The following is a 19,061-nucleotide window of genomic DNA, read 5'->3' on the forward strand; positions in this document are numbered from 1 at the left end:
GGTACTGAATTCTAAGAAGCAGCCAAAATAATGAAGAACTTGAATATAATGATTTATAAGGAGTAATGAGATTGTTTGGGTAGGGGGCAGAGGAAGACATAAATAATTCCTACAAATATATGAGGGCTGATGATGTTCAGGAATCAAATAGGGATGTTGAACCATTTTAATTAGTAAAAACTGATTTGATAGGAAAATGCAAATCACTTGGATATGTTAAAATTTGAACTCATCTTAAGCCTATGTTATTGAAATTGAGATGGGAACCCTCCTTCAATATAGGCTTCTAAGCCATTTGCTGCTACTAATTCCCCATGGTTGCAGGAAGTTCTTAATCTGGTCTTTCCAGCACCCAACTTCCTTCCCTTCCATTATTTCTGCTGATCTCAAGGAATCTTCCGCTCTCCTTTTATGTAAAACGTTGGAGGTCCTGGCCAGAAGACTGGAGGTCACCGGGGAGCCCGAGAGGCTGGAGCACCCGCTGCAGAGAGCTTGGAGTGACCCATTTCACCCAGCCTCCCTGCTGGAGCTATGCTGTGCTGTCAGGGCTTAACTGGCAAAGGGAGAACAGTCATCCCAGCATGAGAGGCTGGCAGAGCAGGCGGGACTACTCATCGCCCCTTAATAAGCCAATGACAGGAGATGCCTTTGTCAGTTTCTCCCATTTCCACATTCTGGCATGGAGGATTCTTGACAAACCTATATTCTTGCCATGATTTCTGCATGAAGTTCCTTAGAAGGAATTTTGGGTGAAAGTCTCATATCAGATGCTATATGGTGGAGGATATCTGTTGGGCAAATATGTGTGTCATGGAGTGCACAAGGGCTGCATCTTCAGGATTTAGTCCGTTATAGGAACTGCACTCATAACTAGATACTCTCCAGCAACTCTGCCCCCAAACACATGCTTCACTGAAGAGGGTGGATTAGAAGGCTATGGAGGGACACCATGATGGTTTTCTTTCTGCTTTCAGATCCCATTCAGGAGGCTTCCAGGACAGGAAGTGGCAAGAACCTTTTGGATGGACCTCCAAGAGTGCTTCAGCCCTTCCTGACCCACAGAACCAAGGTGGCTGAGGCACCCCCCAACCTGCCCCTGCCGGTGAGGAACCCCATGCTGGCTGCTGCCCTCTTCCCAGAGTTCCTGAAGGAGCTGGCGGCCTTGGCCCAGGAACACTCCATTCTGTGCTACAAGATCTTGGGTGACTTTGAGGACTCCTGCTGTTAGCTTTTTTTTTTTTTTTTAATAGAGGTTCTTGTTTTGTAAGGTTTTAGTGTCTTGACTGAATGTTAAATGCAAAGCTGCTTACAAAGATTTCTACTTTAATGTTTCCTGACAATACTTGATTTGTGGGGAGGGGAATTTTCTGTATCTTTCCTCTCTCTCTCTAGCCGGGCCTTTCCACCTTATGTTATATATAGAATGTAAGTCTCATAAGCTGGTTGCTCCCTTGGCAGTTTTCTTTGCTCTGTTTTTCCTCCTTATATTTTTTTGGTTGTCATTCTCCTATCCCTTTGAGTTACTCTTCTTGCAGCTCAGATCACGTCAAGCAGATATTGGGGTTCAGTGATGTCTGGTGATGTCTGGAAGTGCCCCATGTCAGAATTCCAGCTGTTCAGCAGCACAGGAAGATTGTACACCTGCAACTGTGCGAATGGTCCTGTTGCCTCCTGCATTTTGGCCTCTGTTCTATAAAGGAAGAGTAAAGATGGAGCTCCTCCTGCCTCCATCACGAAAGCACATATCATCTGTCCCTTTGGATTTTACTTCCAGGACGTGTGTCGTCCCCAGCGTGTGTTGCCTTATGGTGCCGGCAGAGCCTCAGCTATCTGCCTGGGAAGTCGGATGTCCTTGGAGAGAATTTGGAATGCAGATAATTTTTCTTATTTCTTGAGAGCTTACTTTAATCAGCATGACACTACCTAAACACTGAAGATGGCCTTATATTAGTAAGATTTGCACAAAATTAAGTATACCTATGCAAACTATTACTTTGGTTTTTAGGAGTTTGATCAGATGAAGAAGTAATGGTATCACATATATATGTAAGAAGACAACCATCATTATTTTTGTAAGTGTTTTATAAAAACAAACTGATTAACTTGTGAAGCCATTTCATAGTGGGTTTTTTCAGGGAGGGTATGCTGGGTGGGATGGGGAGATAAACTAAATGCAGCCTGTAAAAACACTGATCATTATTTAAAATTCTATTCCCTTTTGCTAGTAAGCTGCACTTTGTAGAGAAACAGGAACTGTACAGCCCACTTTGGGACCTTGGATGTAAATGCAAACAGGTCACCTGGAGCCCTGCAAAGCCAAGTGCCTGCTGGCGACTCACTCTGCATGGAAATGCTGCCTTCCGAGTAATGGGGTTCATTAGAAGGCCCCAACGTGCTGTATGAGCGTCCCTCTGCTGCTTTGCAGCCTGCTCCAAGAGGCAGGATTATACTTAGAGCCACAGCCATGTTAAACCACCACCAAGAGGGGAAAACAGAATAATTGTGAGCTGAAAATGAGACCATAAACAACTGATTTTTATGGATATTAAATTCCACTCCCCTCTATTTTGGGCCCAGTTCTGCAGGTGCGAAGCAAGTAACGAGCTTGAGCCTGCCTGTTTGGAAGGAAATTGGAAGGTTTGTCTCTCTCTGTTCTTTGTGGGCATCTCTGTGGAGCCCTGAGGGCAGCCACAGGTCTGGTGGTTGTGCCTCAGGAGCACTGGTTTGGTCTTAATCAGGCCTTTCATGCACAGGCAGGGCAGTGGCGGAAGAACCACACCTGCAATGCTGTGGAGCAGTGGAGGCCCTTTTGTGCTTCAGGAATCTTGAAGCAGCTTTGTATTGAGTGAATGAGAAATTGAGAGCTGGCCTGTGAAATGACAACAGGAGACCTGGCCTGGGCAGGGTGAGCTGTTAGGAGCCAGCCTTGCTTTCGTGTTTCATAGTCCAAGCAAGACACCAAAGATTCCTACTCACTGTACATTTCTGTTTGTCTTGACAAATGGTTTGCTCAGCTGTGGTGCAGCAGCCAGAAGGGATGAAGCACAGCAGACTGGTCTGCTTCTGGCTTCCTGATGTCTGGTTGTATTTGCACAGCCCACAACTCTCCATTAGAAAAGAAGGTAGCTTAAGATAGAGAAAGAGGAACAGTTGAAGATGGAAGTTCGGCTGTAATTTATTATACTCTGTTTGTTTTTGCACAAGTATTTATCTTCTTGTTTGGACTTACAAAGTCATAAAATGCCAACGCCACATCTGTAAATGGAATTCTTTAGCTTTGTAGTTTGATTTACACCTTTCTCCATTATCTGGTGGTGGTGTTGATTCTTCTTGAATCCATATTTCTGCATTGTAGAATACCATGGTCCCCTTTGTGGAAAGTTTCCTTTGGGAAAAGATTGATTTTGTGCCTCTTACTGTTTTTTTCAATAGGTACTGAAATAAACTTACTTTATTATTTTATTTTTTTGAGACAGGATCTTGCGCTGCCTGGGCTAGAGTGGAGTGGTGTGATCACAGCTCATTGTAGCCTCAACCTCCTGGGCTCAAGTGATCCTCCCACCTCAGCCTTCCGAGTAGCTGGGAATATAGGAACGTGCCACCACACCCAGCTAACTTTTTGGTATAGTTTGTAGAGATGGGGTTTCACCTTGTTGCCCAGGCTGGTCTTAAAGTCCTGGGCTCAAGTGATCGTCCCGCCTTGGCCTCCCGAAGTGCTGGGATTACAGGTGTGAGCCACTGGGTCCAGCCTGAAGTAGACTTACTTTAAATGAGGACAGAGATGACTGGTGTGTGCAGTGACAGGCAGGAGAATGTAACTTCCCATGCTGGGGTGCTGGCAGCAAACTCACACGATAACACTAACTTCCTATTTGGATTTGGAAACTGGTTCCTGTTTCTGAATCCATTACAGTCCTCAGAGGTTTTTGTCCATGGTTTTGCAAAATGAAGTCAGAAAATGGAGCTGGATGTAGAGAGAACAGGAAAACCCATGTGGCTGGGTGAAATAACTGAGAGTGGGTTATTTAGGGAGTGACGTGGACATGCCAAAGAAAAACAGCAGAGAACTGAGTCTATCCACGGGAGAAGAGCAAATCCTGCACGATTCGGGGGAGTGAACATTGATCTAGGCGGATATGAAGAAACCAGGGAGTGGGTGGGTGAGAATGGGAACTCCTTGTCAGGAAAAAAATCATTGGCAATGAAGTAGAATATTCTGGTCCTAAAGTAAATCGGCAAGCCCTTAGAAATATCTTTTTTTATAATGAGTTGGGGGGAAAATCTTAAATATGTTTGGCATGCTTAAAGATATGGTCCGAGAGTGTGGACACTTCTCTATGTGACAGGCTCCTACACCAGTCGCTGTGCTCCTTGCTGGAAGAATGTAGGGGAAGAGAAACCGTGGGTACCGCCCGCTGGCGCAGCCCCTGAGCTGGCGTCACTGCGTCTGGCCTGGGCAGGAAAGGTGAGGGAGCCAAGGGTTCCTGGAGTATCACAACATTAACCTCAATTCATAATTCAGGGCCCGACTTAAAGTTCCAGACTGAGTGACTTCTGTGGTTCAAAATATATGAGAGCACTGGGATATTTAAAATTGATTTTTTGGAAATGGCCAAGTAAATGTTTTTTAAAATTTTACACAAAGAAATTCCAACTTAGGTTCAGCCTAAAACATAATTTCATGGGTGGTAAAATACAATTTCCCAACCATGAAATGGGAGTGCTGGAATAGCCAGTTAGAGATGTGATTTTTCTTTACCATTAGATACCTCCTTTCCCTGGTATTTAGAGGAATTGTGAAGTGGTCCCCATTTTGTGGAGTATCATTTTGGAAAATGCTTTGATGTGCTCGGGTTGGAGTGGATGTCTGTCAGGTGTTAGGTAGGACGCATTCGGTATTTTTATAGGTCATCAGGAGTACCCTTTCCTTAGCAGGTGGATTTTATTTAGGTCAGATATAGTTAGTTTCTGTCCAGGATAAGACATCATGGAGCCAGGGTCTTGTCAGGAAAGCATCCTCTTATGAACAGAATCTAGAAACAGGCTACATGAATATTGGGGTTGCCTGTTTAATTTGGGCAGCCAGTGGGTACTCAGGGTCGAAAGTTGTTTCCAGTGTCTCCAAATCAGCTTGGCTGTGGCCGTCATGTGGACTGATTCCCAGGTCTGTTTGAGGTTTAGGGTTGTGGATGGGCTGCTCTTCTGAATCTGGATCAGTGTGTCTAGGTTGTGTTCAGGAGGGAAGCACAGCCGCAGCAGTCTGGACAAATCAAGTGCTTTAACGATGGCATCGTCCTCTGGGAATAATCAGTCCTTAATACAGTTTTCACTTGACATAATAGTTTTGGTAAACTGTCTTTATCTGGCTGCACCCCCTTTTAAGTAAGCCCTTAATTTTAAATGGTCCCGGCGTGGTGTTCAGTATCTGCATATGCCCCAGTTCTCATTTAAGGGCAGTTCAATGTAATTGCTAATTACCAGCCCTGTATTTACTGAAATGGCTGTCTGTCATGCTTGCCATTTTTATGAAACACTTTATTGCAGGTCAGCTATTATTGCACGTGCTACTTCAAGTCACTGGCTCAGGCTGGTGTCATGTGTGGTTTGCTGCAAACGGCAGCCTGCTTTGCAGTGTGAGCTCTTCCTGGAAACAGCAGTCTCTTGTAGCTGATGCCACATCAGCTTTAAGTCATTAGGAAGATATTCTAGGCCCCTTGTTGCTTCAGCCATCAGTCTATAAATAACACAACACTAATTTTCCATCAAGTAACAGCTTAAAACAGAACACTGTCAAACCACTTTATGTTCCACCCTTAAATCACATCACTGAGGAAACACTGTAAGAGAATGCAGTTGACTCTTTCCCCCCCTTCTTTTTGAATGAACCTCGTAAACCTAATGCTTTAGAAAGAGCTCTCAGAAGACTGAGAATGGTTTTTAGGATAATTTTGCCTCAGTAAATCCTCTCTACATTCAGGCATTTATTAGGCCATTACTTGTTTTGGGACTACAGATTATCCTGGCAGCTCAATAACTGGATAAACAGGACTTTAGTGAAAGATTTTCAGAGGTTCTTTAGGGAAAAGAATGACCAGGAGAAGGTGGGTGGAAGCCTTCAGTTCTTTGACCTCTTGCACGTAGAATCCTAAAACTGATCATGATTTTAGCTAGGACTGACCTTTCCTAGCTTGTAGGGTCACTGTGAATTTTGTTCATGTCTTAAAAGGTTTAAGTTAACCTAGTTCACTGTTACCTACACAAGTAACAAGACGGCCAATAGGACCTGTCAGCATGACTTCGACATGCATTCCAGGCATCTTTCGGGGAGTTTAGATTTACTGTGTCATTTCAGAACCCAACAAAGGTGATGGAAGCTCTTAGGCCAGATTAAATTTCATGGAACGGAGGCTGCAGAAGTCTGTGCTGCTTAGTGTGTCAGCTGACTTTTTACTGGGACAAGTCTATGAAAGGCCCACCTGTAACAAGGCCCCTTTTTGCCCTGTGGATATTTTAAAAGAGGGAATTTGGTGTTGACAATCTTACTTACACGACTCTTGCTAAGCTATTTGACTAAGGGTTTCAATCAGATGCTTCCCACCTCACAAGCAAGGGTCAGCTCTATTTGCAAATAATCCATGAATATGTTTGTCTAAAACCTGCTGAAGAGGCATGGCAGCCACTTCCATGCTGCTTTTGGTAATGGGTAAAGAATATGGCCTTTCAGATAGATCTGGTGGCTTTTCCCCAATAGTCACCATGTGGAAACTATGCAACTAAATTCAATGGAAATGAAAGATACAATATAAAATAGCGGGTCATGGCCATAAGCTGTGTCCTGAACTAACCAACTCCAAGCTGAAGGAGGGTGTGTACTTTCCGAAACTTCGAGGCCATCTTAGTAATTATTTTAGCAATAATTACTAAAATGTACATGGGGTGGGGGAGCTCAGCTAAAATATCCTTACTTTGGTGCAATAATGATCTAGGTTCTTTTTCCTAGGCCTAGGCCTCCACCTTGAAAGACAGGAACAGAAGTTCACTGTGATGTGTGACCCTGGACAGAGATCAAACAGCTCCTTTCTAGACCCAGATGACCCAGAACGCAGAAGCCTAGTAGTTGGTATCACCAGTGTCTCTTCAAAAGGGCCCCACAAAAGGCTGTCCATTAATTTGTTTCATACAGTAAGCGAGCTTTTACTGAATACTCCCTCTGTTAGGTAGCATGCAGAGTGCTAGGGCTGGCACATTCCTGCCTTCCCACCAGAACCCTCCAACCTCCTCCCCAGGCAACAGAACACAGGGTTTGGGCCTGACCAGGCAGAGCTGGTTCAAGCCAGCCTGGGGCAGAGCCAGTTTTCCAGCACACTTCTAACTTCTAGTCAGAGCCTCAGCATTATACACCCAGCCTACAGGTGTGTGGATTCCTGAGACAGATGGCAATGGCATCACCTGTGGTGCCAACTCATACATTTTAATGAGATTTCTCCCTGAAGGGTGAACCAGTAGACCAGACTAAACGCACACTCATGCAAGAATGTAAAATTGTATTTCACTGAGGCCCCTTTATAAGCAGAGCCATCTTTGCGAATTTCTTGGGGTGTTAATGTAAACATATCTTTAGAATATCTCATCGGGTTTCAGTCAGAGCCATGCTTTGGGTTTTTCCTAGCAGCAGTGATGATATCAACTTACAAGGTTTGGCTTTCAGGATTTCAGAAGCTGGCATTCAAGACAACAGGCAGTTTGTCAGAGCTGAATGAGAATCAGCCTGGACAAATCAAGTGCTTTAACAAGGGCATCTTCCTCTGGGAATAATCAGTCCTTAATACAGTTTGCACTTGACATAATAGTTTTGGTAAATGTCTTTTTCTGGCTGCACCCCCTTTTAAGTAAGCCTTTAATTTTAAATGGTCTGGAAAGATCTTCGATGCTTTCTGTAAGGTTTAGTCACCAAGAAGCCAGAACTTTTGGTGAAAACAGAATTTATAAAATGAAACTGAACCTTCTCCTTTCTTACAAAATAAAGATCCTGTCAGACTCCAGTCTCAGACCACCTTTGCCCATTTGTAATTCAGACTTGCAGAGTGAGGAGAGAACTGCTTCAGCCTTACTGTCTTGTAGAGAGATTTGGTGAAAATCATGTTACTTTAGACCCAGTAGTTTTCAGGACCGCAACAGGATGCGGGGCACCTGGCTTCCCGGGTAAGGTCACATAGTCTCTTAAAATTCTGTCACTAATTTTTTTAAACGACTTTTTTTAAAAAGCCACCTCCTCATGCCTGTCCAAAATGAACCACGCAACTGGTTACCTTTCTCTGCCTACCTTTTGGGCTGGGGAAGAGGGGCACCTTTCTCATCACTCTCAGGGAAGTCCTGAGGAACTGTGCAAGCCAGGAAGCATGAGTCGCTGAATTGGTGATGGAGGGGTGTCCACTTTTTTCTAGTTCCTCAGCTGCTTCTGGAGCAGTGTTCACAACGGGAATGTTTTTACTGTCCTTGGTAGGCTACAGGTTCACAGCTTCAAATCAAGGCCTCCAAGGATTTTATTCTCTTACATCACAGTTTTGACAAGTATGCTTTTAAAAAACAACATTTGCAAAACTGGTCTTTAAGCGACGTGAGTCAGAGGTAACAAAGGCATATATATACCGAACAAAGGTGCTCCGGTGCAGTGGAGAGAACAGTATTAGTGTCGCAAGCACAGGAGTGCAGACAGCCCCGCCTTCATCGTGATGCCTGCAGCACACCACGATTATCATGAGAGGTCAAGATTTTGATTTACTAATTTATAATCTTATTTCCAAGCAAAACAAGTCAATTTCATGTTACAACTTTTTTCTTGTTTCTTTTTATCTTGTTTGGCCTGAGGGTTGGGGGATTTGGGGGAGTTGTCAGCTGCACAATCTTTGAAGTGTAAGTTAATTTTTATGTGATATTTCAGTATATATTTTATTGATTAAATTTATTGGAAAACTTATTTTTTTAATTCATTTATTCTCAGACTGTGCCTTCTGGGATGGGGAGGGAGTTTAACAGGCAATATCACTTCTACTCAGTCGATAGGTTGATTAATTCTAATAATATCCTCCTTCCCCACCCTCTTGAGACCTCCTTAAACAAACAAATGTGTTTATACTGTGCCAGTTTATTTGGTTGTATTTTCATCTTTGTTAACCTGTGTTTAGGTCTGAAAACAATACATCCAAATTACAGTCTCTCTTGACCACTGCTAATGCCCATCACCTACAATGGCTGGCCCTTAGGAGTTGCTCAAAAATATTTGTTGAAGGAACTGCAGAATGAAAAGTTTTCTTAGAATGGGTAACAGTATCTCCAACATACATTTTATTTAGTTTAAAATTCCTTAATACAAGAAGGTGTTACTCCTTAACCACTGCTGCAGCCTCACCGGACCCTCCTGATGTGGATGAAGCAGGCGGGGTGGCTGCTGGTCGGCTGTGGAGGCACCTCCAGGCACAGGGCCTAGAGGGTGAGAACACTGGTGACATTAATGCCATAGCTGTGGCTTGGGACAGGGATTGAGAGGCAGCTCTCAGGGCACATGGGCATCAGCTTTCACAGGATCCTGTTCCCAGTCAGGCTGCACTGTTTGTTGTTGTCCCTTGGGCAAGGGGATCCCAAACATCTCACAATGACAGCTTCTTCTCCAGGATCTCCTTTATCATGACTGGATCTGCTCGGCTTTGAGTCGCTTTCCGGACCAACCCAATCAGTTTATTTATAGCTCTGGGGTTTCTGTTCTTCACATCCATTACCTAGAAGGACAGAAATTACTTACTTAAGAGGAGAAAATGAAGGGATTCATGCCCCCAAATCCCAAACTAAGGCTTAAGTTTACTGAAAATTAAATTCCGCTTATTTCCACTAGTATTAGACATAAAATGTAGAACAGAAAAAGGGGAGGGGCCTCACTTCTGAGTAGGTTTCTAGGCTCCTGTCAAAGGAGATTTTTGCTACTCTGCTTTCTGATTAAAATGAGCAAGAAGTGATTGCCGAAAGCCAGAGAAGCTGGCACGTGGGAGCCAGGGCCCTCCCCTCTGCGACGCCACAATGACCGAGGACACTGAGTCTGGGGAGGGATAATCTCTCTGAGATGATGAATCACTGCGTCTAATCAGTGAGGACACCTCTCTGATTCTCAGTGATGTTCAGCTGAAATGTGTGGCTTTCCTTCTCCCCCTGCTCCCCACCAAGAAGATTCCTTTATCAGAAAGCAGATCTACACACTGGCCGAGTCTTCCAGAGCGCTGGGTCGGGGGGAGTGTGCTGTGTGGGCAGGGGGAGTGAGGAAGCCAGGAGGTGCTGAATTCCTATCAGATAGCCACTGACTCTTAGGGCCACCACGTGACCTCCTGCTCTGCAGCGTCTCCAAGGGCAATGACATGAGGATCTGCACTCAAGTGCCACAGAACAAGCCTGAAACTACTGGCACGTCTTTATCAGTCACCACAGATGAGGCAGGAAGACGAGGCTGTGGAGGCCCAGTGCAGGCTCATTTTCCTTATCGAGAGCTCTTTACAGAGCTGTGAGTGTCCCCGGCAAGCTGATGGGTGGGTGGGTATTATTCTGAAAAAGATGCCGACAATTTTTTTCCCCACTGAAAAAATATCTCTAGACAATATGATTAGACTTGGGGAGGGAGGGATGCCACTCGTTTTAGCTTTTATGTCTTGTGCTGTGCTAAGAACACAAAATGACCTGGTTTTCAGTCATGCTCCTGTCAGGGATTTTCTCCACAATTTATGAATACTTTTCCCTTCTGCCTTTCTTCCCACCTCTTAGAAGCATGAAGCTGAAGTTCCTGTACTCTCCCTGCTCTGCCGGCACACCTGCTGGTTCTTTACTGGGAGGTCCTTAGGAAGTAGCGCTAACCACAACAGATTCGAAATGCCAACCCTGGGAGAGGGCGACACACCTGGGAGGTCACAGCTTGGATTTCGTGAGCTTGCTGACACCCTTTTAAACTACACCTCCATGGAGAGTAAACTCCAGGGGTGGCATCCTTCTTATAGGAAAAGAAGTTGTGTTTTTCCAATATCCACCTATTTCATCTCTTCTGACCTTAACTAAAAAGATGACAGTGAGGGAATTATTGATGAAACTGGGTCAGCCATTCTTAGGAAGAGCCTCTGGGCTGCCACAGGGAGCGATGGCGAGGCTCTTGGGCATGTCCTGGGGCTGGCTCTGGCCCTCTCCCCTGCCCGAGATAGTCACCACTTGAGGATGGGCCTCCATCACAGAGTGGCAGAGCTGCTCCAGTGCCCCCTGGTCCTGCATCAGTTCAAGCTGCTTTTCTGAAACAATCTGCCCTGGAGTCTTGCCTTCCCTCTTCCACAGTTCCTCAAACACCTATGGACCAGAGAAGGGAGAGGAAAGAGAAATGAGAAGTCAGCTCTTCTGCCAGCTCCATTTGCAGTGCTGTGCTGTGTGGAGCTGGGGTGGGAATGAGCAGATTCAATTAAGTCCCCACTGCCTGGGCCTGGCCCAAAGGGAAAGGGCACCTGGCTGCCCTGCCAGAGCGTTGGCTCTCCTGAGGCATCCCTGAGTGCAGGGCTGGGGAACAAGGCCAGCTAGGTGGAGTGAATGCACCTGGGGTCTCCTCCTGAGGCTGAAGTCTCCCTCAGCATAAGGTGTGAGAGGACTCGGGCCAGCCAGATGCCCTCGTGCCCAGAGGGATGGTGAGTCCTGCCCGGCTGACTCCACATGGCGGGGGGGGGCCGCGGGAGGCGTGGAGGTGCCCATCACTCATGGGCGCCTGCTGACGGGAGTCGGCGGGCCACTGATGGATCTGTCTCATGGCCGCCGAATTAATTGAGGTGACATTTTGGTGAAGGATGGGGCCACACAGCCTGCAGGAGGTAACCACGGTACTAAATAAAGTCCAGAAACAGCATGCTGGGAAAGATGACTTTAGGGAGGCAGGAAAGTAGCCCCGTAATGAAGATACAAAATGGCAAACAACTGAAAACATAAATTAGAATCCACAGGGGCCCCCTGGCCTACCACATTCATCTCCTACAGGTAGAGCCGGACCCAAATCAGACTAGGATAATGAACGCTAATGTTTGGGGCATTTTTTTTTTACTTAAAAAATGACAACAACAAATCCCCAAATTCATCAAACCTGAGAAAAAGGAAACCATTTTCAAGGAAGGCTATTTCCTAGGGTAGCTGTTTTCCTCATTTCTCTTGTCTTCTAGCGAAAGCCAGAATTGGGAGCCGGGAGGAGGGCTTCCTCTGTTGGTCTCCCACCGGTGCCACCTCCGTCCAGTCCACAGTCATGACTGAACACCCAACTTTCCCTGTTACCTTGGTGGCCGAGAACGGGCCAACCAGGAGCCATTCCTCCTGGAAAAACAGAGCTCTTCCATAATTAGCACGAACAGCAAAGCAAATAAAAGGGAGATGCTCTGAGTCTCAGCAGGGCTCAAAGTCTTCCCCAGTCTGATTCAAAAACAAACCACAAATACTTATCACTGCTGGGACAGGCACTGCGCCTTCAGCCTGGTGCCTCAGAACGTGCGCTGTGACTGTGGCCAAGGAGGTGTGCTTGGCAGGTCCTGGGTAAGCTCCCTACAGGGCACCCCTCTGCCGCTGCCCGACTGCTCAGGAAAAGCCTGGCCCTACTCTTAGAAAAATACAGAATGCACGTGCCTCCAACTCAATTCAGCAGATATGTACGTGGCCTGACAATGAGGAAACCATTGGGAGAAAGGGGGCACAGAAGCGGGAAGAAACTTCCTCACTCTCAACATGCTTATCAGTGGAGTGCTGCCAGCAGAAGCACTGGGGACCTGGATGGCGTTCCATGGAGCTGCCCTGTAAGTCGGAGGAGTCCATCTGCCCCCTTTCTCTGACACGTTTATTTTTTGAACTAGGACTTAAATTTTAAAAATCATTTTCTAATAATAAAAGTTAATACACATTCACTGCAGAAAATATAAGGAAATACAGGAGAGATCAAAAGAGATCACCGGAATTCCCATTTTCTCAAGAAAACCAATGTTAATATTTTGGTGTTTTTTCTTCCCATCTTTTTCTTTCTGTTTTGTAACATACTTGGGATCATAACGTATATTCAGTTTGTGTCCTGCTTTCTTTCATTTAGCACAGAAGTACTTTCTTAATAAAAAGATCTAGCTAGTATCCATCAGATGTATTTATCATAATTTATCCCCTCCTCGTAGATATCTAGACTTTGACCAGTGTTGATTTTGTTCATCTGCACAGACTCCCAAAAAAGCTCCTAGCTGAAAACCTGGCTCAAAACAGAAACCACCTGTAAGGACTTGCTCGTGAAAAATCTACGCAGCAGTTCCCTCCAGGAAAACCAGGCGGACGAGCAGCCTGTGCCTGGAAGTAGGCGGGGCCCCTCCTGGGTCTGCGTCTGCAGACACAGACCAGGGAGCGATTTCTCAGCGCCTGTGGTAGCTGCTGCGGTGGGAAGCACACGGCAGACCCTGAGCAGGCTGGCCAGTGAGCCAGCCTCTTTCTGACGGGACCCACAGCTCGAATGTTGGCTGGATTTGCCTGGGCCAAAATAAGCGGAAGAGTGGCAGAGTGCTTGGGGATCACTTCCAATCACACCATTCAGAAGGAGAAGCAGTGCACCTCTAGGACAGATGCCTTCAAACGAAGAGGCTGGCTGCTCCCCGAGAAGGAGGGCCAGGCGGGGTGGTACCAAGCAGTGCCGCTAGAGAAACATCATTCAGCAGCCTCCTGGAACACATGGGAGCCCGGTGGCTGAAATGTCCTTTCCTCCCAGAGTTAGAATACATAATGTTAGTTAACTCCACAAATTAGTGCAGTGGCCATGACAGTCGAGGCCCCCAGTCCCCAGTCCCCTAGGCTTATACAACAGACGCCGGTTGTCCCATCCTTTGCTCAATCCTATTTAAGACGAGGATTGTGCACTCCTGGCTGGAGTCCAGGAGGGTGGGAGCCACTGGGTGGTAGTGGAGCGGCCCTGTCTCCAGGCCAGACTCTCCTGCTCCTGGCCCTCTTGACGCTCACAGAGTGGCCTCTGTGGCTGCCGAGCCCTGTGCTGCAGCATAAATCCTCAGCTTTTGTCTGTGTTTAATCCCACCCTGAGAAGTGATATCCAAGTGCAACTGTTTCCAGCCAGGAGCGCAGCTCCCAGGCCCTGCTGCTGCCTACCCAAGACAAACAGATGTAACAAGGAATTTCTAGCACAGTGCTGGTCCTCTGTGTTAATAAATGGCCGACCAGGAGTACTGGGTAATGCAAGCTGGGAACTCCCCATCACACACAGACACTGGAGCCGGCTCTGACACATGGGGCAGAGACTCGGCCTTTGGTTCCCTGAGGACTGAATTTACACACCCTCTTAGTTGCCACCCAACTGTTTCTAGCTAAAGCTATTTTTGAAGTATCCTGAAGGAAAGCACACAAGACTCTAGCCTCTCCCTGCCTGTCCTGGGTTTCCAAGGTCAGGATATGGTGGAAAGACCTGTTCAAGGGACATGGCATGGAGGGAGCTGTCACAGTTACAGAGAAGGGAGCCCCCTTTTTGGTCAAAGGCAAGTATTGTGAAAGGTTACTTTTCTAGAAAGGCACAAACATCAACCCAAGCCCCTAATAAAGCGGGGCCCAGTAAACTGTGCAGATAACTGAAGCACTAAAGAGAGAAAAAGACATCTAGTCATTTGTAATACAGCTTTGGTGCATGATATATAACATTTTGTACATTAAAAGGTTTTTGGCGATTTCTCTTTAAAGCAGACCACAAAGTAGACAAGAGATTGGTTATTATGGAACACTTGTGTGTTAAACGCGATTTCCATCTCTGCGGCACCCAATTCCAGAAACGTTAACTGGACAATCCTCAGGGGATGGTGGATCATCTGCATCTGTTTCCAGACGTGCATGAAGGATCTCCTTCGTACACCTACACAACCCATGCGATTTCCCTTGAACCATGACTAACCAGCTGTCTGGACGACATCCAGGGCGAGTCACAAGAGGCTTGGGAATCCTGGGAGGCTGTTTTCAGGTTAGCTGTAACTCTGACAGTTTGGGAGTCTGATGTGTCCAAGCTGACCCTGTCTTTAGTGAGGGGAGGAGACGGGGTGCCACCTGCCACTTCAATACACAGCCTGGGTCTTGTGAGGGGCACACGGGGTGCTTTTGTCTACAGTTCCCAGGAGATAACTGCTCATGATGATATATAATTTCCCAGCTTCTATTTCTGATTCTGAAGAACAAGGCTGCTTTGTGGCAGCAACCTCTTAACTCCCCTGGCTCTGGGGTGCTGAAGGGATGAGGTTTGTAAATGTCGGGAGCACTGGCAGGACACCTGGGAGGAGGGTGCAGTGAAAGGCAGAAGGAATGAAGATAATGCACAAGGAAGTGGGTGAGAGACAGGCAGAGAAAGGCAGATTCATAACCAATTAGAGCACAAAGTGGGAGGTTCTTTGGAATTCGGAATTCTGCTCTCAGGACATGATTCTTCTTTCTGTGTGTCTGTCATCCCTAGGAGTCAGTCACTCAGTCACCTTTCTTCCTTATCCCCTGGTCATCTATCTAATCACTTATTGGAGCCTCTTCCAGTTCTGCCAGAGGCAACACCAATAACCAGTAGGATCAGAGAGTCTCTGTTCTGGCTCACAGCTTTCTAAAACCCAAGCCATGCTTGGACTCTTCTATTAAATTTGGAAAAAAATATCTGTAACACATTTTTCTTTTTTAAAAAAGTACACTATAAAAATAAGATACAAAAATATTCTCAACAGATTATGGAAATGCAAATCAAATCCTCCCTGATACGACTTCACACCCACTAGGACGGCTATAGAATCAAAAAGATGGACAATAACAAGTGCTGGTGAGGACATGGAGCAACTGGAACCCTTGCACACTAACAGGTGAGACTGTAAGATGGTGCGGCCATTTTAGAATACAGTCTGGCACTTCCTCATTATATGAATGAAACACAGCATTACCATATGACCCAGAAATTCCATTCCTATAGGTATACATCCAGCCTGTGTGCAAAAACTTGTACATGAATGTTTAAGGCTGCATTATTCCTAATAGCCAAAATGTGGAAACAACTCAAATGTCCATCAACTGATGAATGGACAGACAAAATGGAATGTGTCCGTACAATGGTGAAGGGGCTTGGCAGACGAGCAGCCCCATTTAGCCCTAAAAAGGCGTGAAGGACTGATGCGTGCCGCAACACAGATGTACTTTTCATAAAATGTCCAGATAAAATAAAAATAAATAAATAATACAAAGTCAATAAATACATAAAATATCCAGATAAAATGCTTGACACTATATAATTAATAATAAGAAATAAACTAAAAAAAAGTACACCATAACTTCAGTTTTTGAAAGTCTTTATTGCTATCTTTCCTTCCTCCCTCCTCCTCCTTCTTCCTTCATGATGTTCATCTGATATTAAAGGTAGTTATTTCAAGGTGGTAGAACCTGAGAATCTTTGTTTTTCTACATTACTTATATTTTTTTATGATCAACATATATTACTTTCCCCCAGAAAATCAGTAATTTCCTAAAAACAGAAAAAAAAGGTAGAAAAACAAAAAAAACCCCAAGGCAATGATACATCACGGGGACCCCCTTAAGCAACACACACTAGACACCCTTCTAGCCAGGCTTGTATTTTCGCTTGACTGCCTCACAGAAGTCCCCTCCTTTAAACATGCTGGAAGCTGATAAAATCTGAAAGCGTCCCTACATCTGAACCCAGCTGTCAGCTTCCAACATTTTCCATTTCTTCTTACTGGAACTATCTTATTCACCGCACTAGGTATTTTGTTCTGTTGTGTTGTGGGGCAGGATGAGTAGGAAAAGGGGAAGGTTTTTCCCTTCTTTCATTTCACGTGCAATAATTCAATGTGTTCTTCTCTCTCTCTCTCTCTCTCTACATATATATATAGTGCTTTTTCTGCCCTCAGGCCATCTAAACTTCCTGCAACTGCTCAGCATTGTCATAAACATTTGTATTCCCCTGACATCCAGACAAGCAAGAGCCTTTCCTAAACGCGGTGAGGTCCCTGTAGTTGACAGCCTCACTCGAGGTGGGTAAACAGAGCTTTTATTAGTCCCGTCTCCAGTTCCACAGCACCCAGCCCGGTGCGTGCACTATGGTGCCTCATAATTATCCCAAAGCAGCCACTTTCCCCAAGCCTCCCTTTGTAACCTGCCACTACTGTCGGTGCAGATAAACGTTACATGCAAAAGGCACCATTAAAATAACATTAAACTTCTGGCTGAAGCATTGACAGCTGCGATCACTGAAGCTGAGATGAGGCAGCCACCTTGGTGTTCTTGATCTTTCTGGTTATGTGTTTTTTTTGTTTTTGTTTTTGTTTTTTGAGACGGAGTCTCGCTCTGTCACTCAGGCTGGAGTGCAGTGGCACAATGATCTCAGCTCACTGCAACCTCCACCTCCCTAATTGAAGTGATTCTCCTGTATCAGCCTCCCAAGTAGCTGGGATTACAGGTGCCCGCTGCCACACTCAGCTAATTTCTGTATTTTTAGTAGAGACGGGGTTTTGCCATGTTGACCAGGCTGGTCTCAAACTCCTGACCTCGTGATCCACCCGCCTCAGCCTACCAAAGTGCTGGGATTACAGGCGTGAGCCACTGTGCCCGGCCCTCTGGGTATGTATTTGTAAGAATCTTCTGAATTCCACGAGTCTGTCAACTGCCTAGCACTTAGGCAGAGGTATAGACAGACAAAAGGCTGCTTAGGATGATGCTATTTTTCTGAGTTTTCACACACCGGGCATGTCTGTAACATTTTATCTACAAAGTGCAGAGTCTGACTTCACCCTCCTTGTTGAGGACAGACTCTCTGAGGGCAACCATGCAGCAGGGACAAGGGAGCCCTGGGACTGGCTGGGAGGCGGTGTGGGGGCGGGACAAGAGCCCCAGCAGGCTGAGAGCTGAGCTGAGGCTGCCTTGGGCACGAGGGAAAGTTCTCAGGTGTAAAAGGGCTACAGGAGACATGTCAGGCGGAGATGTTCAGGGCAAGACCAGACAATAACTATTTCCCCAGGTTAGCGGTGATGACGAGAAGCAAACTGCCTGCATTGCACATATTGGCTTCATACGCTTGCTAAATAAAATGTTTCTACCTTTCAGCATTAAAAACACCACTACTGGCATTTAATACTTCCATGATGAAAGTCACTCAGTGATGGCATTTGGGTGTCACAGAAAACATTTCTTGGGACAGTAGCACAGTCAGAAGCTGTCGGGAGTGTGGACATACCTGTTTAGCTGCTGATGAAGAAATTGTTCTGCTGTCCAGCAGGTCAAGAAGCTCAGCGAGTGCAGAGGGTGTGACAGGACTGGTGGCCCCCAAAAGAGAAAACACATTTACATTGCACACTGTCAGGGCATCCATGAATGGCTGTTCGGAATCAGAACACTTGCTCTAGTGGGGGTAAATATCGGACCCACGCCTAGGGATGAAAACAGCAGGCCAACTGGGCTCTCTTTTATTTTACTTATTTATTTTATATCTTAGGATATAACAAATTTTTGTGACTAGTGTTCTTTCTTTCACCACCCAACAATAACAGCTGTTTGGCAGAAGTTGTAGCAACAGACAACTGCTCAGTGTAATTAGTCAAGAAAAGGAGGTGGCTGCAAAATTCATGAACCACAACAGGAAAGGGAAAACAAACTCCAGTAATTAAATATTTTCAACGGAAAGATCAGCCTAAAAATTACTTAAAAAAAAAAAAAACCAGCTAACAAAGTCACGTTTCTGAGTGTTTCTGTGCAAATATAAATTCCTTTAAATTGCAAGAGATTTTCTGCAAGGGAACACAATGACTACCAGCCACATTTTCATCCATCCTCAGGAACCTGATACATAACTCTCTTCTCCAGGCTCACACAGCTTTCTGGACACAGAAGGGCCTAGAATCCACTATACCTATATTTCTAGGATGTGACTTATTTGCCAATATCCCATGAAAGAAAAGGTCAGGGGCATCCAAGCATAGTGAAACAGCGAAGTGTCATTAATTCACTTGAAG

At 45.6% G+C, this 19,061-nt stretch overlaps 2 protein-coding genes and 1 long non-coding RNA gene across 13 annotated transcripts in view, besides 1 other annotated feature; 2 read left to right on the top strand and 1 right to left on the bottom strand.

The window, feature by feature from the left end:
* The window catches only part of FHIP1A (FHF complex subunit HOOK interacting protein 1A), a 261,328-nt gene extending 252,351 nt beyond the window's left edge, over positions 1–8,977 (top strand). For all 10 annotated transcript variants that reach the window (XM_024454201.2, XM_047416127.1, XM_011532221.3 and 7 more), the window contains one exon: positions 975–8,977. In XM_024454201.2, the coding sequence (XP_024309969.1) occupies positions 975–1,228 (254 nt within the window). In that variant the 3' untranslated portion in view covers positions 1,229–8,977. The remainder of the gene's footprint in view (positions 1–974) is intronic.
* GATB (glutamyl-tRNA amidotransferase subunit B) overlaps positions 8,978–19,061 on the bottom strand; it is a 90,504-nt gene continuing 80,420 nt past the window's right edge. The window contains exons 11-13 of one of the 2 annotated variants that reach the window (NM_004564.3): positions 18,287–18,365; positions 11,236–11,370; positions 8,978–9,776 (exon numbers count right to left, since the gene is read on the bottom strand). In NM_004564.3, coding sequence (NP_004555.1) covers positions 9,648–9,776; positions 11,236–11,370; positions 18,287–18,365 — 343 coding nt within the window. In that variant the 3' untranslated portion in view covers positions 8,978–9,647. The remainder of the gene's footprint in view (positions 9,777–11,235; positions 11,371–18,286; positions 18,366–19,061) is intronic. The other variant, NM_001363341.2, reaches the window with a different exon arrangement.
* LOC107986197 (uncharacterized) lies at positions 10,063–16,364 on the top strand. Its single transcript, XR_001741447.3, has 2 exons — positions 10,063–15,034; positions 15,774–16,364. It is a non-coding gene; the product is annotated as an uncharacterized LOC107986197 (long non-coding RNA).
* Positions 11,021–11,820: an enhancer, noted in NCBI's record as "H3K4me1 hESC enhancer chr4:152593699-152594498 (GRCh37/hg19 assembly coordinates)". NCBI's record gives its function as "activates a minimal SCP1, AML or CMV promoter by ChIP-STARR-seq in naive and primed H9 embryonic stem cells {active_cell/tissue: H9 hESC(naive and primed)}" and the evidence as "EXISTENCE:reporter gene assay evidence [ECO:0000049][PMID:30033119]".

The sequence above is a fragment of the Homo sapiens genome, chromosome 4 (genome assembly GCF_000001405.40).
Source record: "Homo sapiens chromosome 4, GRCh38.p14 Primary Assembly".
NCBI lineage: Eukaryota > Metazoa > Chordata > Mammalia > Primates > Hominidae > Homo > Homo sapiens.